Source organism: Homo sapiens, chromosome Y (assembly GCF_000001405.40).
Source record: "Homo sapiens chromosome Y, GRCh38.p14 Primary Assembly".
NCBI lineage: Eukaryota > Metazoa > Chordata > Mammalia > Primates > Hominidae > Homo > Homo sapiens.
Window position 1 is genome coordinate 11,736,425 of NC_000024.10, and position 21,488 is coordinate 11,757,912.

At 37.1% G+C, this 21,488-nt stretch overlaps 5 annotated features.

Annotated features, from left to right (window-relative positions):
• Positions 77-612: an enhancer, noted in NCBI's record as "OCT4-NANOG hESC enhancer chrY:13857207-13857742 (GRCh37/hg19 assembly coordinates)". NCBI's record gives its function as "activates a minimal SCP1, AML or CMV promoter by ChIP-STARR-seq in naive H9 embryonic stem cells {active_cell/tissue: H9 hESC(naive)}" and the evidence as "EXISTENCE:reporter gene assay evidence [ECO:0000049][PMID:30033119]".
• Positions 613-1,148: an enhancer, noted in NCBI's record as "OCT4-NANOG hESC enhancer chrY:13857743-13858278 (GRCh37/hg19 assembly coordinates)". NCBI's record gives its function as "activates a minimal SCP1, AML or CMV promoter by ChIP-STARR-seq in naive H9 embryonic stem cells {active_cell/tissue: H9 hESC(naive)}" and the evidence as "EXISTENCE:reporter gene assay evidence [ECO:0000049][PMID:30033119]".
• Positions 9,233-10,216: an enhancer, noted in NCBI's record as "OCT4-NANOG-H3K27ac hESC enhancer chrY:13866363-13867346 (GRCh37/hg19 assembly coordinates)". NCBI's record gives its function as "activates a minimal SCP1, AML or CMV promoter by ChIP-STARR-seq in naive and primed H9 embryonic stem cells {active_cell/tissue: H9 hESC(naive and primed)}" and the evidence as "EXISTENCE:reporter gene assay evidence [ECO:0000049][PMID:30033119]".
• Positions 10,217-11,200: an enhancer, noted in NCBI's record as "OCT4-NANOG-H3K27ac hESC enhancer chrY:13867347-13868330 (GRCh37/hg19 assembly coordinates)". NCBI's record gives its function as "activates a minimal SCP1, AML or CMV promoter by ChIP-STARR-seq in naive and primed H9 embryonic stem cells {active_cell/tissue: H9 hESC(naive and primed)}" and the evidence as "EXISTENCE:reporter gene assay evidence [ECO:0000049][PMID:30033119]".
• Positions 11,201-12,184: an enhancer, noted in NCBI's record as "OCT4-NANOG-H3K27ac hESC enhancer chrY:13868331-13869314 (GRCh37/hg19 assembly coordinates)". NCBI's record gives its function as "activates a minimal SCP1, AML or CMV promoter by ChIP-STARR-seq in naive and primed H9 embryonic stem cells {active_cell/tissue: H9 hESC(naive and primed)}" and the evidence as "EXISTENCE:reporter gene assay evidence [ECO:0000049][PMID:30033119]".

Below are 21,488 nucleotides of genomic sequence, written 5' to 3' on the forward strand. Positions count from 1 at the left end.
GGACTGGAGTGGAATGGAATAAAATGGGATGGAAAATAATCGAATGGAATGGAAGGGAAAGGAAATTAATAAAATGGAACGGAATCGGATGGAATGGAAAGGAATGGAATGGAATAGAATCGAATGGAATGGCATCGGAAGGAATGGAATGCAATGGAATCTGATGGAACGGAATGGTGTGAAATACAAACGAATGGAATACCTTTTAATGAAATGGAATGGAATGAATGGAAAGGAATGGAATGGACTAGAATGGAATGGAATGGACTGCAACTGATTTGACTCGAATGGAAAGGAAATGAATGGAATGGAATGGAAGGGAATGGAATGGAATAGAATGGAATGGAATCGGATGGAACGGAATGGATTGGAATGGAGTCGACCGGAATAGAATCGAATGGAATGGAATCAGATGGAATGGAATGGAATGGAATGGAATGGAATGGAATGGAATGGAATGGGCTCGAATGGAATGGACTTGAATGGAGTAGAATCGAATGGAATGGCATCAAATGGATTGGAATGGAATTTCATGGAACCAAATGTATTGGACTCGAATGGAATGCACTCAAATAGAATAGACTCGAAAGGAATGGTCTCGAATGGAATTTATTTGAATCAAATGAAATGCAATAATATGGAATGGAATTGAAAGAACTGGAATGGAATGGAATGGACCAGAATGGATTGGAGTGGAATAGAATGGGCTCGAATGTAATAGAATTTAATGTAAACTAATTGAAAGGAATGGAATCGAATGTAATGTAATCAAATGGAATGGAATGGAATGCAATGGAATGGAATAGAATGGAATGCAATGGAATGGAATGGAGTGGAACCTAGTGGAAAGGAATTGAATGGAATGAAATCAAATGGAACGGAATCGAATGGAATGGATTGGAATGGAATGGAATCGAATGGATTGGACTGGAATAAAATGGAATTGATTGGATTGGAATCAAACGGAATGGAATGGAATGGAATGGAATCGATTTGAATGGAATATAATGGAACAAAACCGAATTGAACTGAATCGAAAGAAAGTAAGTGAATGAAATAGAAATGGATAGAATGGAATGGAGTGTAATGAAAAGATATCGAATAGAAAGGAATGGAATCGGATGGACGCGAATGGAAAAGAATGGATTGGAATGGATTGGAGTTAAATGGACTCGAATGGAATGGAAAGCAGTGCAATGGAATGGAATGAAATGGAATGGGAAGGAATAGAATGGAATGGAATCACATAGAACGGATTGGAATGGAATGGATTCGAATGGAATGGATTCGAATGGAATGGCATCAAATATAATGCAATGGAACGGAATTTAATCGAATGGAATGGACTCAAACGGAATAGAATTGAATAGTATGGCATCAAATGGAATGGAATGGAATGGAATGGAATGGAATGGAATGGAATGGAATGGAATGGAATGGAATGGAATGGAATGGAATGCAAGTGACCCTAATGTAATGGACTTGAACGGAATATACACAAATAGAATGGAGTAGAATGGAATGGTCTCGAATGGAATTTATTCGAATAGAATGGAATTGAATGGAATGCAATAGAATGGAATGGAATCGAATGGAATCGACTGGAATGGAATGGAATGGAATGGAATACAATGGACACGAATGTAATGGATTGCAATGCAATTGATTTGAATGGAATGGAATCCAATGGAATGTAATCAAATGGAATGGAAAGGTATATAGTGGAAGGGAATAGAATGGAATGGAATGGAACGTAGTGGAATCGAGTGGAATGGAATAGAATAAAATGGAATTGAATGGAGTGCAATGGAATGCAAAGAAGGGGAATAGAGTGGAATGGAATCGAATATAATGGAATCTAATGCAATGAAATCAAATGGAATCGACTGGAATGGAATGGACTCGAAACTAATGGACTGTAACAAAATGGAATCGAATGGATTGGACTCGAATGGAACATAATGGAATGGATTGGACTCGAATGGAATGCAGTGGAATGGAATGGACTCGAATGGAACAGAAACGATTATAAAGGAATGGAAGGGAAAGGAAAGGAATAGATTTTAATGGAATAGGATGGAACGGAACGGAACGGAATGCTGTCAAATGGAATAGAATCGAATGGATTGGCATCGATTGGAATGGAATGCAATGGACTCGAATGAAATGGACACTGATGGAATAGAATTGAACAGAATGGCATCCAAAGGAATGGAAAGGAATGGAATGGAGTGGAATGGAATGGAATGACATGGAGTGGAATGGAATGGAATGGAATGGAATGGAATGGAATGGAATGGAATGGAATGGAATGGACACAAAATTAATGGAATAGAATGGAATGGACTCGAAAGGAATGGTCTCGAATGGAATTTATTCAGAAAGAATGGAATAGAAAGCAATGCAATACTATGGAATGGAATCGAATGGAATGGACCAGAATGAAATGGACAGGAATAGAACAGATTCGAATGTAATGGATTGCAATGTAATTGATTCGAGTGACTTGGAATCGAATGGAATGTAATCAAATGGAATGGAAAGGAATGCAATTGAATGGAATAGAATGGAATGCGATGGAATGGAAAGGAATGGAATGGAATCGAGTGGAATGGAATTGAATGGAAGGTTATCGAATGAAATATATTCAAATGGAATGGATTCGAATGGAATAGACTGGAGCAAAATGGAATCGAACGGATTAGAATCGAAAGGAATGGAATGGAATGGAATGGAATGGAGTCGAATGGAATGGAATCGAATGGAATGGAGTCGAATGGAATGGAATGGAATGGAATAGAATGGAATGGAATGGAATGGAATCGAAAGGAATAGAATGGAATGGAGTGTAATAGAAAGATATTGAATGGGATGGAATGGAATGGACTAGAATGGAATGGACTGGAATGGAATGGACTCGAATGGAATGGACTGGAGTGGAATGGACTAGAATGGAACGGAAATGAATGCAATGGAATGGAAAGGAATTAAATGGAATGGAATTCGTTGGAACTTAATGGAATGGAATGGAGTCGAATGGAATAGAATCGAATGGAATGGCATCGAATGGAATTGAATGGAATGGGAAGGACTCGAACAGAATGCACTCGAATGGAATAGAATCTAATGGAATGGCATCAAATGGAATAGAATGGAATGGAATGGAATGGACTCGAATGGATTGGAAAGGAATGGAATGGAATGAAATGGAATTGAAAGGAATAGAATGGAATAGATTTGGATGGAATGGAATGGAATGGAATGGAATGGAATGGAATGGCATCGAAAGGAATGGAATGGCATCGAAAGGAATGGCATCGAATGGAGTGGAATGGAATGGAATCGAATCGAATGGAATGGATTTGAATGGAATAGAATAGAATGGAAAGGGATCGAAACGAATGGAATGGAATGCAATGGAATCGAATAGAATGGAATGGTCCCAAATGTAATGGACTCGAACGGAAAGGACTCAAATAGAATGGATTCGAAAGTAATGGTCTCGAATGGAATTTACTCGAGTAGAATGGAATCGAAAGGAATGCAATAGCATGTAATGGAATCAAACGGATTGGAATGGAATGGAATGGACGGGAATGTAATGGACTGGAATAGAATGGACTCAAATGTAATGGATTGCAATGTGACTGATTTGAATGGAATGGAATCAAATGGAATGTAATCAAATGTAATCAAATTGAATTCAATTGAATGGAAAAGAATGGAATGCAATATAATGGAATGGAGTGGAATTGAATGGAATGGAATGGAATCGAATAGATTGGACTGGAATGGAATGGACTCGAATATAATGGCCTGGAATAAAATGGAAACAAACGGATTGGAATCAATCGGAATGGAATGGAGTGGAATGGAAGAGAATGGATTCGAATGGAATGCAGTCAAAAGGAATGGAAACTAATGGAATGGAATTGAATGGAATCAAAAAGAATAGAATGGAATGGAGTGACTCGGGAATACATCAAATGGAATGGAATGGACTAGAAATGAATGTACTGGAATGGATTCGACTCAAGTGGAATGAATTGGAGTGGAATGGACTCAAACGGAATGGAAACGAATGGAATGGAATGGAAAGGAATAAAATGGAATGGAATGGGATGGAATGGAATGGCATGGAATGGAGTCGAATGATATACAATCGAATGGAATGGCATATAATTGAATGAAATTAAATGGACTCGAATGGAACAGAATAGAATGGAAAGGCATCGGAGGGAATGGAACGGAATGGAATGGAATGGAATTTAATGGAATGGAATGGAAAGAAACAAATGTAATTGACTAAAAAGGAATGGACTCAAATAGAATGGACTCGAAAGAAATGGTCTCAAGTGGAATTTATTCGAATAGAATGGAATCCAATGGAATGCAATAGTATGGAATGCAATAGTATGGAATGGAATCGAATGGAATGTACCAGAATGGATTGGAGTGGAATAGAACAGACTCGAATGTAATGGATTGCAATGTAATTGATTTGAAAGGAATGGAGTCAAAAGGAATGTAATCAAATGGATGCAATGGAATGCAAAGAATCCAATAGAATGGAATGCAATGGAATTCAATGGACTGGAATCGAGTGCAATGGAATTGAATGGAAGGGAATCGAATGGAATGGAACTGAATGAAATGGACTGGATTGGAATGTACTTGAATGGAATTGACTGAAAAATATTTAATTGATCGGACTGAAATCAAATGGAACAGAATGGAATGGAATGGAATGGACACTATTTGAATAGAGTAGAATGGAATGTAACCAAATGGAATGGAATCAAATGGAATGGAATTGAATGGAATCGAAAGGAATAGTATGGAATGAACTCTAATGGAAAGTTATCGAATGGAAAATAATGGAATACAATGGACTCATATGGAATGCACTGGAATGGAATGTACTGGATTGGAATGGACTCAAATGGAATGGAATGGAATGGAATGGAATGGAATGGAATGGAATGGAATGGAATGGAGTGGAATGGAATGGAATAGAATGGAATGGAATCAGATGGAACTTAATGGAATGGAATGGAGTCGAATGGAATAGAATCGAATGGAATAACATCAAATGGAATGGAATAGAATGGAATGGAATGGAATAGAATGGAGTGGAATGGAAAACACTCAAATGGATTGGACTCAAATGGAATAGAATCGAATGGAATGGCTCGAATGGAAGAGAATGGAATGGAATGGAATGGACTTGAATGGAATGGAAGTGAATGCATTAGAATGAAATGGAATGGAAAGGAATAGAATGGAATGGAATCGGATGACACGGAAAGGATTGGAATGGATTCGAATGAAATAGAAATAAATGGAATGGCATCGAATGGAATGGAATGTAATATACTCGAATGGAATGGACTCAAATGGAGTAGAATACAATAGAATGGCATCAAAAGGAAAGGAATGGAATGGAATGAAATAGAATGGAACCAAATGTAATGGAATCAAATGGAATGGACTCAAATAGAATTGACTCGAAAGGTATGGTTTAGAATGGAATTTATTTGAATAGAATGGAATCGAATGGAATGCAACAGTAAAGAATGGTATCAAATGGAATGGAATCAAATGGAATGGACTGGAATGGAACGGACTGAAATAGAACAGACTCGAACATAATGGATGGCAATTTAATTGATTTGAATGGAATGGAATTGAATGGAATGTAACCAAATTGAATGGAATGGAATGCATTTGAATGGAATAGAATGGAATGGATCGGAGTGGAATCGAATGGAATGGAATCGAATGAAACGTAATTGAATGGAATGGAATTGAATCGAATGGACTGGAATGGAATGAACTCGAATGTAATGAACTGGATAAAGTGGAAACGAACGGATTGGAATCGTACAGAATGGAATGGAATGGAATGGAAGAGACTGTTCTCGAATGGAATGGAGTCGAAAGGAATGGAACTGAATGGAATGTAATTGAATGGAATCGAAAAGAATAGAATGGAATGGAACGTTATGGAAAGATATTGAATGGAATGGCATGGACGCGAATGGAATGGACTGGAATGGAGTGAACTCGAATGGAATGGACTGGAATGGATTAGACTCGAATGGAATGGAAACGAATGAAATGGAATGGAAAGGAGTAGAATAGAATGGAATTGGATGGAATGGAATGGAATGGAATAGAGTCAAATGGAATAGAATCGAATGGAATGGCATCGAATGGAATGGAACGGAATGTAACGGACTCGAGTGGAATGGACTCTAATGGAATAGAGTAGAATGAAATGGCATTGAATGGAATGCAAAGGAATGCAATGGATTGCAATGGAATGGACCCAAATGTATAGGAATCCAATGGAATGGACTCAAATATAATGGATTCAAAAGGAATGGTCCCAAATATAATTTATTCAAATAGAATGGAATCAAAAGGAATGCAATAGTATGGTATGGAATCAAATGGAAAGGAATCGAATGGAATTGACCAGAATGGAATGGACTGAAATAGAAAGGACTCGAATGTAATGGATTGAAATGTAATTGATTCGAACTCCTTGGAATCGAATGGAATATAATCAAATGGAATGGAATGGAATGCAATGGGAAGGAATAGAATGGAATGCAATGGAATGGAACTGTGTACAATTGAGTGGAATGCAATCGAATGGAATGGAATCGATGGAATGAACTGGCATGGAAAGAACTCGAAAGGAAAGGACTGAAAAAAATGGAATCGAACAGATTGGAATTGAATGGAACAGAATGGAAAAAATGGAACGGAATGGAATGGAATGGATTCTAATGGAATGCAGTCAAATTGAATGAAATCAAATGGAATGGAATCGTACAGAATGGAATTGAATGGAATCAAAAGGAAAACAATGGAATGGAGTATAACAGAAAGATATTGAATGTAATGGAATGGAATAGAATGGAGTCGAATGGAATGGCACGGAGTGGAATTCACTCGAATGGAATGGACTGGAATGGAATCGAATCCAATGGAATGAACTGGAGAGGAATGAAATCTAATGGAAAGGAAATGAATGGAATGGAATGGAATGGAAAGGAATGGAGTGGAAAGGATTATAATGGAAACGAATCGGATGGAACAGAATCGAATGGAGTCGAATTTAATAGAATCAATTGGAATGACATCGAATATAATGGAATGGAATGGAATGGAATTCATTGGAGTGGAGTTGACTCTAATGTAATGGAAACGAATGGAATGGAATGGAATGGAATGGAAGGGAAAAGAATACAATGGAATGGAATCGGATGGAAGATAATGGAAAGGCGTCAAATTAAATAGAATCAATTGGAATGGCATCGAATGGAATGGAATGGAATGGAATGGAATGGAATGGAATGGAATGGAATTAAATGGACTCGCATGGAATAGAATTGAATGGTATGTCATTGAATGGAATGGAACGGAATGGAATGGAATGGAATGGAATGGAATGGAATGGAATGGAATGGAATGGAATGGAATAGAATGGAATGGAATGGTACCAAAAGTAATGGACTCAAATGGAATGGACTCAAATAGAAAGGACGCGAAAGCAATGGTCTCGAATGGAATATATTCAAATAGAATGGAATTGAACGAAATGCAATAGTGTGGTATGGAATCTAATGGAATGGACAAACATGGAATGGACGGGAATAGAACGGACTCAAATGCCATGGATAGCATGGTAATTGATTCGAATGGAATGGAATTGAATGGAATGGAATCAAATGGAAAGGAATGGAATACAATGGAATGGAATAGAATGGAATGCAATGGAATGGAACGAGGTGAAATTGATTGGAATGGAATCGAAAGGAATGGAATCGAATGGATTGGGATTGATTGGAATAGACAGGAATGGAATGGACTCGAATGTAATTTAATGGAACAAAATGAAATCAAACGGATTGGAACCGAACAAAACGGAATGGAAGGTAATGCAATGTCCTCGAATGGAATGGAGTCGAATGGAAGGGAATCAAATGGAATGGAATTGAATGGAATGGTACTGAATGGAATCGAACGGAATTTAATTTAATGGAGTGTAAAGCAAAGATATCGAATCCAATGGAACAGAATGGAATTGACTTGAATGGAATGGAATGGAAAGGAATGGAAAGGAATGGAATGGAGTCGAATGGAATGGACTGCAGTGCAATGGACTCGAATGGAATGGAAACGAATGGAATGGAATGTAACGGAATGGAATTGAATACAATGGAAACGAATAGATAGAATGGAAAGTAAAGGAAATATATCGAATCTAATAGAAAGGAATGGAATGGACTCGAATGGAAAGGAATGGAATAGAATGGAATCGAATGTCATGGACTGGAGTGGAACGGTCTCGATTGGAATGGAAAATAATGGAATGGAATGGATTGGAATGGAAAGGAATAGAATGGAATGGAATCGTATTGAATGGAATGGAAAGGAATGGAGTCAAATGAAATAGAATCTAATGGAATGCAATCAAATGTAATGGAATGCAATGGATTCTAATGGAATGGACTCAAGTGCAATACAATAGAATCGAATGGCATGGAATGGGATGAAATAGAATGGAATACAATAAAATGGAAAGGAGTGGAACCGAGGGGAATGGAATCGAACAGAATGGAATGGAATGGAATCGAATGGAATGGAATGGAATGGAATGGAATGGAATGGAATGGAATGGAATGGGTTAGAATGCAATGGAATCGGATCGAATGGAATGGAATGGAATGGAGTTGAATGGAATAGATTCGAATGAAATGCCAACGAATGGTATGGAATGGAATGGATTGGACTCAAATGGAATAGAATTGAACTGAGTGGCATCGAATGGAATGGAATGGAATGGAATGGAATGGAATGGAATGGAATGGAATGGAATGGAATGGACCAAAACGTAATGGACTCTAATGCAATGGACTCAAATAGAATGGACACAAAAGGAAGGGTCTCGAATGGAATTTATTGAAAAAGAATGGAATCAAATTGCATGCGATAGTATGGAATGGAATCAAATGGAATGGAATTAATTGGAATGGACCAGAATGGAATGGACTGGAATATAACGGACTCGAATGTAATGGATTGCAGTGTATTTGATTCAAAAGGAATGGAATTGAACGGTATGTAATTAAATGGAAAGAAATGGAATGCAATCGAATGGAATAGAATGGAATGCAATGGAATGGAACCTAGTGTAATCGAGTTGAATGGAATTGAATGGAATGGAATCAAATGGAATGGAGTGGAATTCAATGGACTCGATTGGAATGGACTGGAACAAAATAGAATCGAACGCATTGGAATCGAACTGAATGGAATGGAATGGAAAAGAATGGACGTCAATGCAATGGAGTCGAATGGAATGGAACCGAATGCAATGGAATTGAAGGGAATTGAAAGGAATAGAATAGAATGGAGTGTAATGGAAAGATATCGAATGGAATGGAAAGAAGTGGAATCGACTCAAATGAAATCGTGTGGAACGAAATGGACTCGAATGGAATTGAATGGAACAAAGTGGACTCGAAGGGAATGGACTGGAATGGAATGGATTAGAAAGGAATGGAAACGAACGGAATGGAATGGAATAGAATGGAATGGAATCAGATGGAATGAAATGGAATGAAATGGAGTAGAATGGAATAGAATCGAATGCAATGGCATCGGATAGAATGGAATGGAATGGAATCTAATGTACTTAAATGGAATGGACTCGAATGAAATAGAATAGAATGGAATGGCATCGAATGGAATTTACTGGAAGAGAGATTAATGGAAAGATATTGAATAGAAAGGAATGGAATGAACTCAAATGGAATGGACTGGAATGGAATGGACTCGAATGGAATGGACTGGAATGGAATGGTCTGGAATGGAATGGACTGCAGAGGAATGGTCTCGAATGGAATGGAAACGAATGGAATGGAATTGAATGGAATGGACATTAAAGGAATAAAATGGAAGGTATCAATGGAACATAATGCAATGGAATAGATTTGAATGGAATACTTTCAAAAGGAATGGCATTGAATGGAATGGAATGGAAAGGACTCGAACGGAAAGGACTCGAATGGAATTGAATAGAATGGAATGGCATCGAATGGAATGGAATGGAAGAGAGTGTAATTGAAAGATATCGAATGGAATGGAATGGACTCGAATGGAATGGCCTGGAATGGAATGAACTCGAATGGAATGGACTGGAGTGGGATGGACTCGAATGGAAAGGAAACGAATTGAATAGAATGGAATGGAATGGAAACAATACAATGAAATTGAATCGAATGGAACTGAATGTAATGGAATGGAGTCGAATAGAATAGAATCGAATTGAATGACATCGAATGGAATGGAATGAAATGGAATGGAATGGAATGGAATGGAATGGAATGGAATGGAATGGAATGGAAAGGACTTCAAAGGTGTGGACTCTAATGGAATAGAATATAATGGAATGGCATCGAATGCAAGGGAATGGAATGGAACCCAATGTATTGGACTCGAATGGAATGGACTCCAATAGAATGGATTCGAATGGAGTGGTCTCAAATTGAATTTATTCAAATAGAATGGAATCGAATGGAATTCAATAGAATGGAACGGAATCGAACGGATTTGATTCAAACGGAATGGAATGCAATGGAATGGAGTCGAATGGAATGGAATTGAATTGAATGGAATCGAATAGAATGGAACTCAATGGAATCGAAAGGAATACAATGGAATGGAGTGTAATGGAAAGATATCAAATGGAATTGAATGGACTCGGTGGAATGGACTGGAACAGAACTGACTCGAATGGAATGGAGTGGAGTGGAATGGACTCTAATGTAATGGAAACTAATGGAATGGAATGGAATGGAATGGAATGGAATGGAATGGAATGGAATGGAAAAGAATAGAATGGAATGGAATCGGATGGAACAGAATGGAATGGAGTTGAATTTAATAGAATCAATTGGAATGACATCGAATATAATGGAATGGAATGGAATGGAATGGACTTGACTGGAGTGGAATGGACTCTAATGTAATGGAAACGAATGGAATGGAATGGAATGGAAGGGAAAAGAATAGAATGGAATGGAATCGGATGGAATGGAATGGAATGGAGTCGAATTGAATAGAATCAATAGGAATGGCATCGAATGGAATGGAATGGAATGAAATTAAATGGACACGAATGCAATGGCCTCAAATGGAATAGAATCGAATTGTATGGCATCGAATGGAATGGAATGGAATGGAACGGAACGGAACGGAACGGAATGGAATGGAATGGAATGGAATGGAATGGAATGGAATGGAATGGAATCGACCCAAAAGTAATGGACTCAAATGGAATGGACTCAAATAGAAAGGACTCGAAAGCAATGGTCTCGAATGGAATTTATTCGAATAGAATGGAATCGAATGGAATGCAATAGTATGGAATGGAATGAAATGGAATGGACACGAATGGAATTGACTGGAATAGAACGGACTTGAATGCCATGGATAGCAATGTAATCGATTCGAATTGAATGGAATCAAATGGAATGTAATCAAATGGAATGGAATGGAATGCAATGGAATGGAATAGAATGGAATGCAATGGAATGGAACGGAGTGAAATCGAGTGGAACAGAATTGAATGGAATAGAATCGAATGGATTGGAATTGATTGGAATAGACAGGAATGCAATGGACTTGAATGGAATTTACTGGAACAAAATGGAATCAAACGGATTGGAACTGAACGAAACAGAATGGAATGTAATGGAATGGCCTCGAATGGAATGGAGTTGAATGGAAGGGAATCGATGGAATGGAATCGAATGGAATGGAATGGAATGGAATCGAAAGGAATTGAATTTAATGGAGTGTAAAGCAAATATATCGAATCCAATGGAATGGAATGGAATGGACTCGAATGGAATGGAATGGAATGGACTCGAATGGAATGGAATGGAATGGACTTGAATGGAATGGACTGGAGTGGAATGGACTCGAATGGAATGGAAAAGAATGGAATGGAATGGAATGGAATGGAATGGAATGGAATGGAATGGAATGGAATGGAATGGAAATGAATGGAATGGAATGGAATAGGATGGAACTAAATGGAATGGAATGGAGTCGAATGGAGAGGAGTTGAATGGAATGGCATTGAATGGAGTGGAATGGAATGGACTCAAAAGGAATGAACTCGAATGGAATAGAATAGAATGGAATGGCATCAAATGGAATGGAACAGAAGGGAGTGTAAAGGCAAGATATCGAATGGAATGGAATGGAATGGAATGGAATGGAATGGAATGGAATGGAATTGACTCGAATGGAATGGACTGGAATGGAATGGACTATAATGGAATGGCCCGGAGTGGAATGGACTCGAGTGGAATTGACTGGAATGGAATTGACTTGAATGGTATGGACTGGAGTGGAATGGTCTCGAATGGAATGGAAACAAATGGAACGAAATGGATTGGAATGGAAAGGAAAGGAATCGGAAGGAACAGAATGGAGTGGAATGGAGTCGAAAGAAATAGAATTGAATGGAATGCAATCGAATGGAATGGAATGCAATGGACTCGAATGGAATGGACTCGCATGGAATAGAATTGAATGGAATGGCATGGAATGGAATGGAATAGAATGGAATGCAATAAATGCAAAGGAGTGGAATCAAGTGGAATGGAATGGAATGGAATGGAATGGAATGGAATGGAATGGAATGGAAGGGAATGGACCCAAATGGAATGGATTCGAGTGGAATGTAACCGACGAATGGAATGGAATTGAATGCAATCGAAACGAATAGATAGAATGGAAAGTAATGGAAATATATCGAATCTAATAGAATGGAATGGAATGGACTCGAATGGAATGGACTGGAGTGGAACGGTCTCGAATGGAATGGAATGGATTGGAATGGAAAGGAATAGAATGGAATGGAATCATATGGAATGGAATGGAACAGAATGAGTCAAAACGGAATAGAATCAAGTGGAATGCAATCGAATGGAATGGAATACAATGGACTCGAATGGAATGGATTCTAATGGAATAGAATATAATGGAATGGCATGGAATGGAATGAAATAGCCAGCTCCCTGTGCAGGTGAAAATCCATGTATAACTTTTGACTCCCCAAAAGCTTAGTTACTTATCACCTACTGTTGACTAGAAGCCTGACTCGTAACATAGTCAAGTAATACACATTTTATATGTTATGTGTATTATATACTGTACTCTAACAAAAAGTAAGCTGAAGAAAGGAATATGTTATTAAGAAAATCGGAGGGAAGTGAAAATATATTTACTGGTTATTAAGAGGAAGTGGATCATCATAAAATTCTTCATCTTCATTATCTTCACGTTGAGTAGGCTGAAGAGAAAGAGATAGGGTTGGTCTTGCTGTCTCAGGGATGGCAGAGGCAGAACAAAATCTACGTGCTAGTGGACCCACACAGTTCTAGTCCACGTTGTTCAAGGATCAACTGTAATTACAAGAGTAGACCTTTGAGTTACATGCTCATTTCATCTGTCTGCATCAGCTAGGTTTTGCCGTGGTGACTAACAACCCCAAACCTCAGTGGCTTAAAGCAACAAAGATTTCCCATTCATTTTGCATGGCTCATGCGGGTGGATAAGGGAGCTCTGTTTATCAGAGTCACTCTGGGACTCAGTCTGATGAAGGCTTTATCTTAAAAAGTGTTTTCATGATGGCTGGAAAGTCGTGGACCAATGATTTCCACCGAAACCCATTTGCTAGAACCAATTCCGTGACTATGACTCACTTCAAAGAGACATGAAAAACTATCCTAATGCACTGAAAGGAAAGGGAAGCTGGATAGCAGTGAAGCGGTCATGTCTACCACATTCCACCCCACGGGTCACTACATACTCAATTCTTTTTTCCCCGTGCAGAGCCCACTTGCCCTGTCAAGTCTCTGCTCCAGCACTGCACAGTGGGTAAATGTGTGTTGGTGGTAGGGGAGGGAGTGAGAGCCTATCTTTTCAGCTCATACGTTTCTAGTTCAAGACGAATTACATCTGACCTGACGTAGAAATAAATGTTTATTACCCACTTGTGTTAGTTTCTTAAGGCTGCTGTGACAAATCACCACAAACTGAGTGGCTCCAAACAACAGATATGTATTGTCTCACTGTTCTGGACACCAGACAGCTGAAATCAAAGGTCAGCAGGGCCACATGCTCTCTGAAGCTTAGAGGGAGAATCCTCCTTTCTCCCTCGCTGGCTCTGATGGTTTTCCAGTGAGCCTCAGCATTCCTTGGCTTGCAGCCCCAGCACTTTAATCTCTGCTTTTATTGTCACATGACATTCTTCCCTTGCATCTATCTCTTCTACTCTTCTTATAAGGACACCAGTCATTGGAGTAAGACCACCCGAATTCAGTATGGCCTCATCACAACTTAATTACATCTGCACAGACCTTATTTCCAAACAAGGTCACATTCACAGGCACCAGGGATTAGGATTTCAACATATCTTTTTACGGGACACAATTCAACTGATAACACCTTCCACCTTCCACTCCCTAATATAACCCTTCATATAGGCACTGTTGCCTCTCACCCAGAAATCATGAATTTTGAGCTCTGTGCCATGACCGGACAAGACTTTTGTGTTGATTCCCTTAGGAAGGATATTTATGTATTCTGTATGACTGAAGGAGATTGAGCCAAATATTTGGTGTCTAGAATGGTGGGCTACAGTAGATATTAGAGATCCCCACCAATATTTCCAGTTGTCTTCCATCCAGTCAAACAATAAGAATAGAACTCCCTGCTCCCATGAAACTAGATGTGACTATGAAACTTGCTTTAAGCCAATGTAATGTGAACAGAAGTGATACATTTTATTTCTGGATACTAAAATTTAAGAAGCAAGGTATAATTTTCCACTTTTTCTTTATCTTCCATGTTGGCAAGTAACTTTCCAGATTGTGAAAATTATGTAATAAAAGTCCTTATGTGAAGACAGCATTAAGAATCCTGCCAAACTGACTTGTACTGAATATGTAGCATGAGTAATAAATGAATCCTGATAACAGTAAGACATTGAGTTGTACATGTATACACCCTATAACACAGCAGTTTCATGCATACATCAGAAAGATTCTTTCACATGTTCATTAAGGAAACATGCACAAGTATTTTAGTTAATAATATTATTTGCAGCAATAAATGGCAATCAGCTCAAATGCTCACCAATTGTAGGTTGAAATAAATAAATAACTTTTATATACATGAACTGAACAACATACAGCAATGAAAATGAATGGATTATAAACACAAATATCAATATGGATAATTTTTAAAACATCATATTAAGCAGTTATAGAAAAACTACACACGTTTGATTGAAATTTTATAATTCAGTCTGAATTAATGGACATATTGCATAAGGATATAAAAATCTATAGTAATAACAGTGGAAAACACCAGGGAACAAAATTCAGCTAATTACTACCTCTGGTGGATATGAAGTATAATGCAATTGAAGAATGCACACAGAGAGCTCCTACAGTATGATAATTCATTTTCTAACATTGTTTGCAGGCACATGATATTTGTTTTATTATTGGTCTTCAAACCCCACATATATGCTTTTATGTACTTTTTGCAATCTATACTTCACAACTGTTAAAAATAAAGCAAATCTTAGGTAAAATATGTTTTATATATATATAAATATATATTATATATATTTTTATATATAAATATATATTATATATATTTTTATATATAATATATATTATATATATTTTTATATATAATTATATAATATATATTTAAGTATAAATATATAATAAATATAAATATATTTTTATATAATATATTTTATGTATTTATATATAATATATTCTATATAATATATATTTTATATTATATTCTATATAATATATATTTTATATTATATTCTATATAATATATATTTTATATTATATTATATACTATATATTTTATATTATATTATATAAGATATATTTTATATTATATAATATAATATATATTTAATATTATATTATATAAGATATATTTTATATTATATTATATATAATATATATTTTATATTATGTTATATGTAATATATATTTTATAATATATTATATGTAAGATATATTTTATATTATATATTATATATATTTTTATATTATATTATATATATTATATTATATATATTTTATATATTATATATAAATTTTATATATAATATATAAAGCACATTATAGAATGCCCTTGTAGAAGTTGATCTATAGAAGTTAATTTATACAAGTTAACTTCTAGCAATGTTAATTCGTGGTTAAGAAAGTAATTCCAAGGCTATTTTTTCTGTAAAATGAAGTATAAATTTTTTGCATAAGTAATTATTTTCTCACATCTAACTCTCTGCATCTCTTAGCTTTATTAAAGCAGGGCTGGCCTTTCACTTTTTAAATTTTTGTCCCTTTCCCTTTATGGGATTAAAGAGGAAAAATAGAAAATCACAAATATATGAAGGCCTCTTTTGGGAAAGGGGGATTTTCTTCCCATGCTAGTGAAGCAGCTACTCGATCAGTATATTTCCATTTTGTATCTTTATATGTTTTTACTATTTTAATGGTTTTTCCTTAAAATGTTTACCATAAATACTTCCTTGTAGCAAGATAAAAATTAATATCTAACCACCTTCCACAATGTTTTAGAACTTTTTAACTCTCATATCTTTCTTGTTGAATTTTAATTATCATATCCTCCCCTGCTCGTTTTAAGAATATTGGTTCATTCCATTTTTAAACTCTATAAATTATATTAACAATACTAGTATAAATTTACTTACAGGTTTGACAATTCCTTTGCACCCATACTCCTTGGATCTCATAAAATTCTTCCTCAGATGCTTTGATTTCTTCCTAAAGCATCATTTGGAATTTCCTTTAGTGAGAATCTGTCGGTGGTAAACTCATATTTTTCTATTTTTGAAAATGTTTTCATTTTGCACTAGGTCCTAAAAGAGATTTCCCGGGCGTGTAATTCGAGATTAGTAGTTATTTTCACTTAGCACACTGAAGATATTAATCCATTCTTTTCAAGATTCCATTGTTACTGTGCAGAACACCTCTAGCAATCTATTTCCATCATCTGTCTTGTCTCCCCATCTGCTTTTATGCTCTTCCGTTTGTCTTTGGTGTTTCATTATAAATCATGAGTTTTTCTTTATTTATTCTCCTGTGAGCATATTGTTGTGGAAATTTTTCAGCTATTGACGTTTAAGATTTTGCCCTTCTATCATTCTCCCTATGTCCTCCTTTGATGAGAGGCCTGTTAGATATTCCCACTCTGTCCTCCATAGCTCTTAACCTCTTTTTTTAGACAGTGCCTCCCTCTGTTGCTTAGGCTGGAGTGCACTGACATGATCTCAGCTCACTGCAGCCTCCACCTCCTAGGTTCAAGTGATTCCTGTGCCTCGGCCTCCTGAGGAGTTGGGACTACAGGCACGTGCCACCATGCCTGGCTAATTTGTGTATGTGTGTGTATTTTTAGTAGAGACGGGGTTTCACCATATTGGCCAGGCTGGTCTCAAAATCCTGACCTCAAGTGATCCACCAGCCTTGGCCTCCCAAAGTGCTGGAATTACAGGCATGAGCCATGTACTTGGCCAACCTCTGTTTCATATTTGTATTTCTTTTTCTCTCCCTGCTGCATTCTGGGTAAGTCCTTCAGAGCTGTCTTTTATTTCACTGATCCTTTTTTGGCTGTATCTAATCTAATAATTGAATGTCTTACTTCAACAATTGTATTTTTATTTAAAAACTTTTACATTTTATTTTTCCAATCCACCTCCTCATTTTGTAAAGCCTTTTGTTTCTTGCTTATTTTCATAATGCAATCTTGTATTTCTTTAGATATTTTATACATAATTAACTTATATTCTGTATTTGTTAGTCCAATATCCAAAGTCTTTGAGACCTAAATGTTTTATGTTTTTTCTTACACTGTTTCCCTGTTTGTTTGTTGATGAATGACTGTGAGGTAGTATTTGGTTGATTTTGTCCATGGAAACCTTAGAGGCCTTATCTCCAAAAGGATCTGTGTTTTCTTCTGCCCAGGCTCTAGGAGAGCATCACTGAGTTATACTCATTTCAGCTTCCTTCTAAGGTTTCAGGGTTAATGTGGAATTCTCTATCTTAGCTCCCCTGTTTTGCTGCTGGCCCAAAGATTAGACTCCTAGTCACAGGGATAACATTGAAATTATCCCTAAAATAATTCATCATTTAAGCCGGGCATGGTGACATGCACCTGTGATCTCAGCTACCCCAGAGGCGGAGGCAGGAGGACCACTTGAGCTCAGGAGCTTGAAGCTTATAATATGCTATGATTCTTCCTGTGAATAGTGACTGTATTCCAGCCTGGGCAATATAGTGAGATCCCATATCTTTCTAAAAAAATTCATTTTTGTTTATTGTTTATATCTTCTTTCTTTTTTTTTTGTTTTTTTTGTTTTTTTTAAATTATACTTTAAGTTTTAGGGTACATGTGCACATTGTGCAGGTTAGTTATATATGTATACATGTGCCATGCTGGTGCGCTGCACCCACTAACGTGTCATCTAGCATTAGGTATATCTCACAATGCTATCCCTCCCCGCTCCCCCGACCCCACCACAGTCCCCAGAGTGTGATATTCCCCTTCCTGTGTCCATGTGATCTCATTGTTCAATTCCCACCTATTAGTGAGAATATGCGGTGTTTGGTTTTTTGTTCTTGCGATAGTTTACTGAGAATGATGGTTTCCAATTTCATCCATGTCCCTACAAAGGACATGAACTCATCATTTTTTATGGCTGCATAGTATTCCATGGTGTACATGTGCCACATTTTCTTAATCCAGTCTATCATTGTTGGACATTTGGGTTGGTTCCAAGTCTTTGCTATTGTGAATAGTGCCGCAATAAACATACGTGTGCATGTGTCTTTATAGCAGCATGATTTATAGTCATTTGGGTATATACCCAGTATTGGGATGGCTGGGTCAAATGGTATTTCTAGTTCTAGATCCCTGAGGAATCGCCACACTGACTTCCACAATGGTTGAACAGTTTACAGTCCCACCAACAGTGTAAAAGTGTTCCTATTTCTCCACATCCTCTCCAGCACCTGTTGTTTCCTGACTTTTTAATGATTGCCATTCTAACTGGTGTGAGATGATATCTCATAGTGGTTTTGATTTGCATTTCTCTGATGGCCAGTGATGATAAGCATTTTTTCATGTGTTTTTTGGCTGCATAAATGTCTTCTTTTGAGAAGTGTCTGTTCATGTCCTTCGCCCACTTTTTGATGGGGTTGTTTGTTTTTTTCTTCTAAATTTGTTTGAGTTCATTGTAGATTCTGGATATTAGCCCTTTGTCAGATGAGTAGGTTGCGAAAATTTTCTCCCATGTTGTAAGTTGCCTGTTCACTCTGATGGTAGTTTCTTTTGCTGTGCAGAAGCTCTTTAGTTTAATTAGATCCCATTTGTCAATTTTGGCTTTTGTTGCCATTGCTTTTGGTGTTTTGGACATGAAGTCCTTGCCCACGCCTATGTCCTCAATGGTAATGCCTAGGTTTTCTTCTAGGGTTTTTATGGTTTTAGGTCTAACATTTAAATCTTTAATCCATCTTGAATTGATTTTTGTATAAGTTGTAAGGAAGGGATCCAGTTTCAGCTTTCTACATATGGCTAGCCAGTTTTCCCAGCACCATTTATTAAATAGGGAATCCTTTCCCCATTGCTTGTTTTTCTCAGGTTTCTCAAAGATCAGATAGTTGTAGATATGCGACATTATTTCTGAGGGCTCTGTTCTGTTCCATTGATCTATATCTCTGTTTTGGTACCAGTACCATGCTGTTTTGGTTACTGTAGCCTTGTAGTATAGTTTGAAGTCAGGTAGTGTGATGCCTCCAGCTTTGTTCTTTTGGCTTAGGATTGACTTGGCGATGCGGGCTCTTTTTTGGTTCCATATGAACTTTAAAGTAGTTTTTTCCAATTCTGTGAAGAAAGTCATTGGTAGCTTGATGGGGATGGCATTGAATCTGTAAATTACCTTGGGCAGTATGGCCATTTTCACGATATTGATTCTTCCTACCCCTGAGCATGGAATGTTCTTCCATTTGTTTGTGTCCTCTTTTATTTCCTTGAGCAGTGGTTTGTAGTTCTCCTTGAAGAGGTCCTTCACATCCCTTGTAAGTTGGATTCCCAGGTATTTTATTCTCTTTGAAGCAATTGTGAATGGGAGTTCACTCATGATTTGGCTCTCTGTTTGTCTGTTGTTGGTGTATAAGAATGCTTGTGATTTTTGTACATTGATTTTGTATCCTGAGACTTTGCTGAAGTTGCTTATCAGCTTAAGGAGATTTTGGGCTGAGACGATGGGGTTTTCTAGATAAACAATCATGTCGTCTGCAAACAGGGACAATTTGACTTCCTCTTTTCCTAATTGAATACCCTTTATTTCCTTCTCCTGCCTGATTGCCCTGGCCAGAACTTCCAACACTATGTTGAATAGGAGTGGTGAGAGAGGGCACAAGAAAAAAACAAACAACCCCATCAAAAAGTGGGCGAAGGACATGAACAGACACTTCTCAAAAGAAGACATTTATGCAGCCAAAAAACACACGAAGAAATGCTCATCATCACTGGCCATCAGAGAAATGCAAATCAAAACCACTATGAGATATCATCTCACACCAGTTAGAATGACAATCATTAAAAAGTCAGGAAACAACAGGTGCTGGAGAGGATGTGGAGAAATAGGAACACTTTTACACTGTTGGTGGGACTGTAAACTGTTCAACCATTGTGGAAGTCAGTGTGGCGATTCCTCAGGGATCTAGAACTAGAAATACCATTTGACCCAGCCATCCCATTACTGGGTATATACCCAAAGGACTATAAATCATGCTGCTATAAAGACACATGCACAAGTATGTTTATTGCGGCATTATTCACAATAACAAAGACTTGGAACCAACCCAAATGTCCAACAATGATAGACTGGATTAAGAAAATGTGGCACATATACACCATGGAATACTATGCAGCCATAAAAAATGATGAGTTCATGTCCTTTGTAGGGACATGGATGAAATTGGAAACCATCATTCTTAGTAAACTATCGCAAGAACAAAAAACCAAACACCGCATATTCTCACTCATAGGTGGGAATTGAACAATGAGATCACATGGACACAGGAAGGGGAATATCACACTCTGGGGACTGTGGTGGGGTCGGGGGAGGGGGGAGGGATAGCATTGGGAGATATACCTAATGCTAGATGACACGTTAGTGGTTGCAGTGCACCAGCATGGCACATGTATACATATGTAACTAACCTGCACAATGTGCACATGTACCCTAAAACTTAGAGTATAATAAAAAATAAATAAATAAATAAATAAAAAATAAAATGTAAAAGAAAAAAAAAAAGAAATGTCCCAATTCTTTA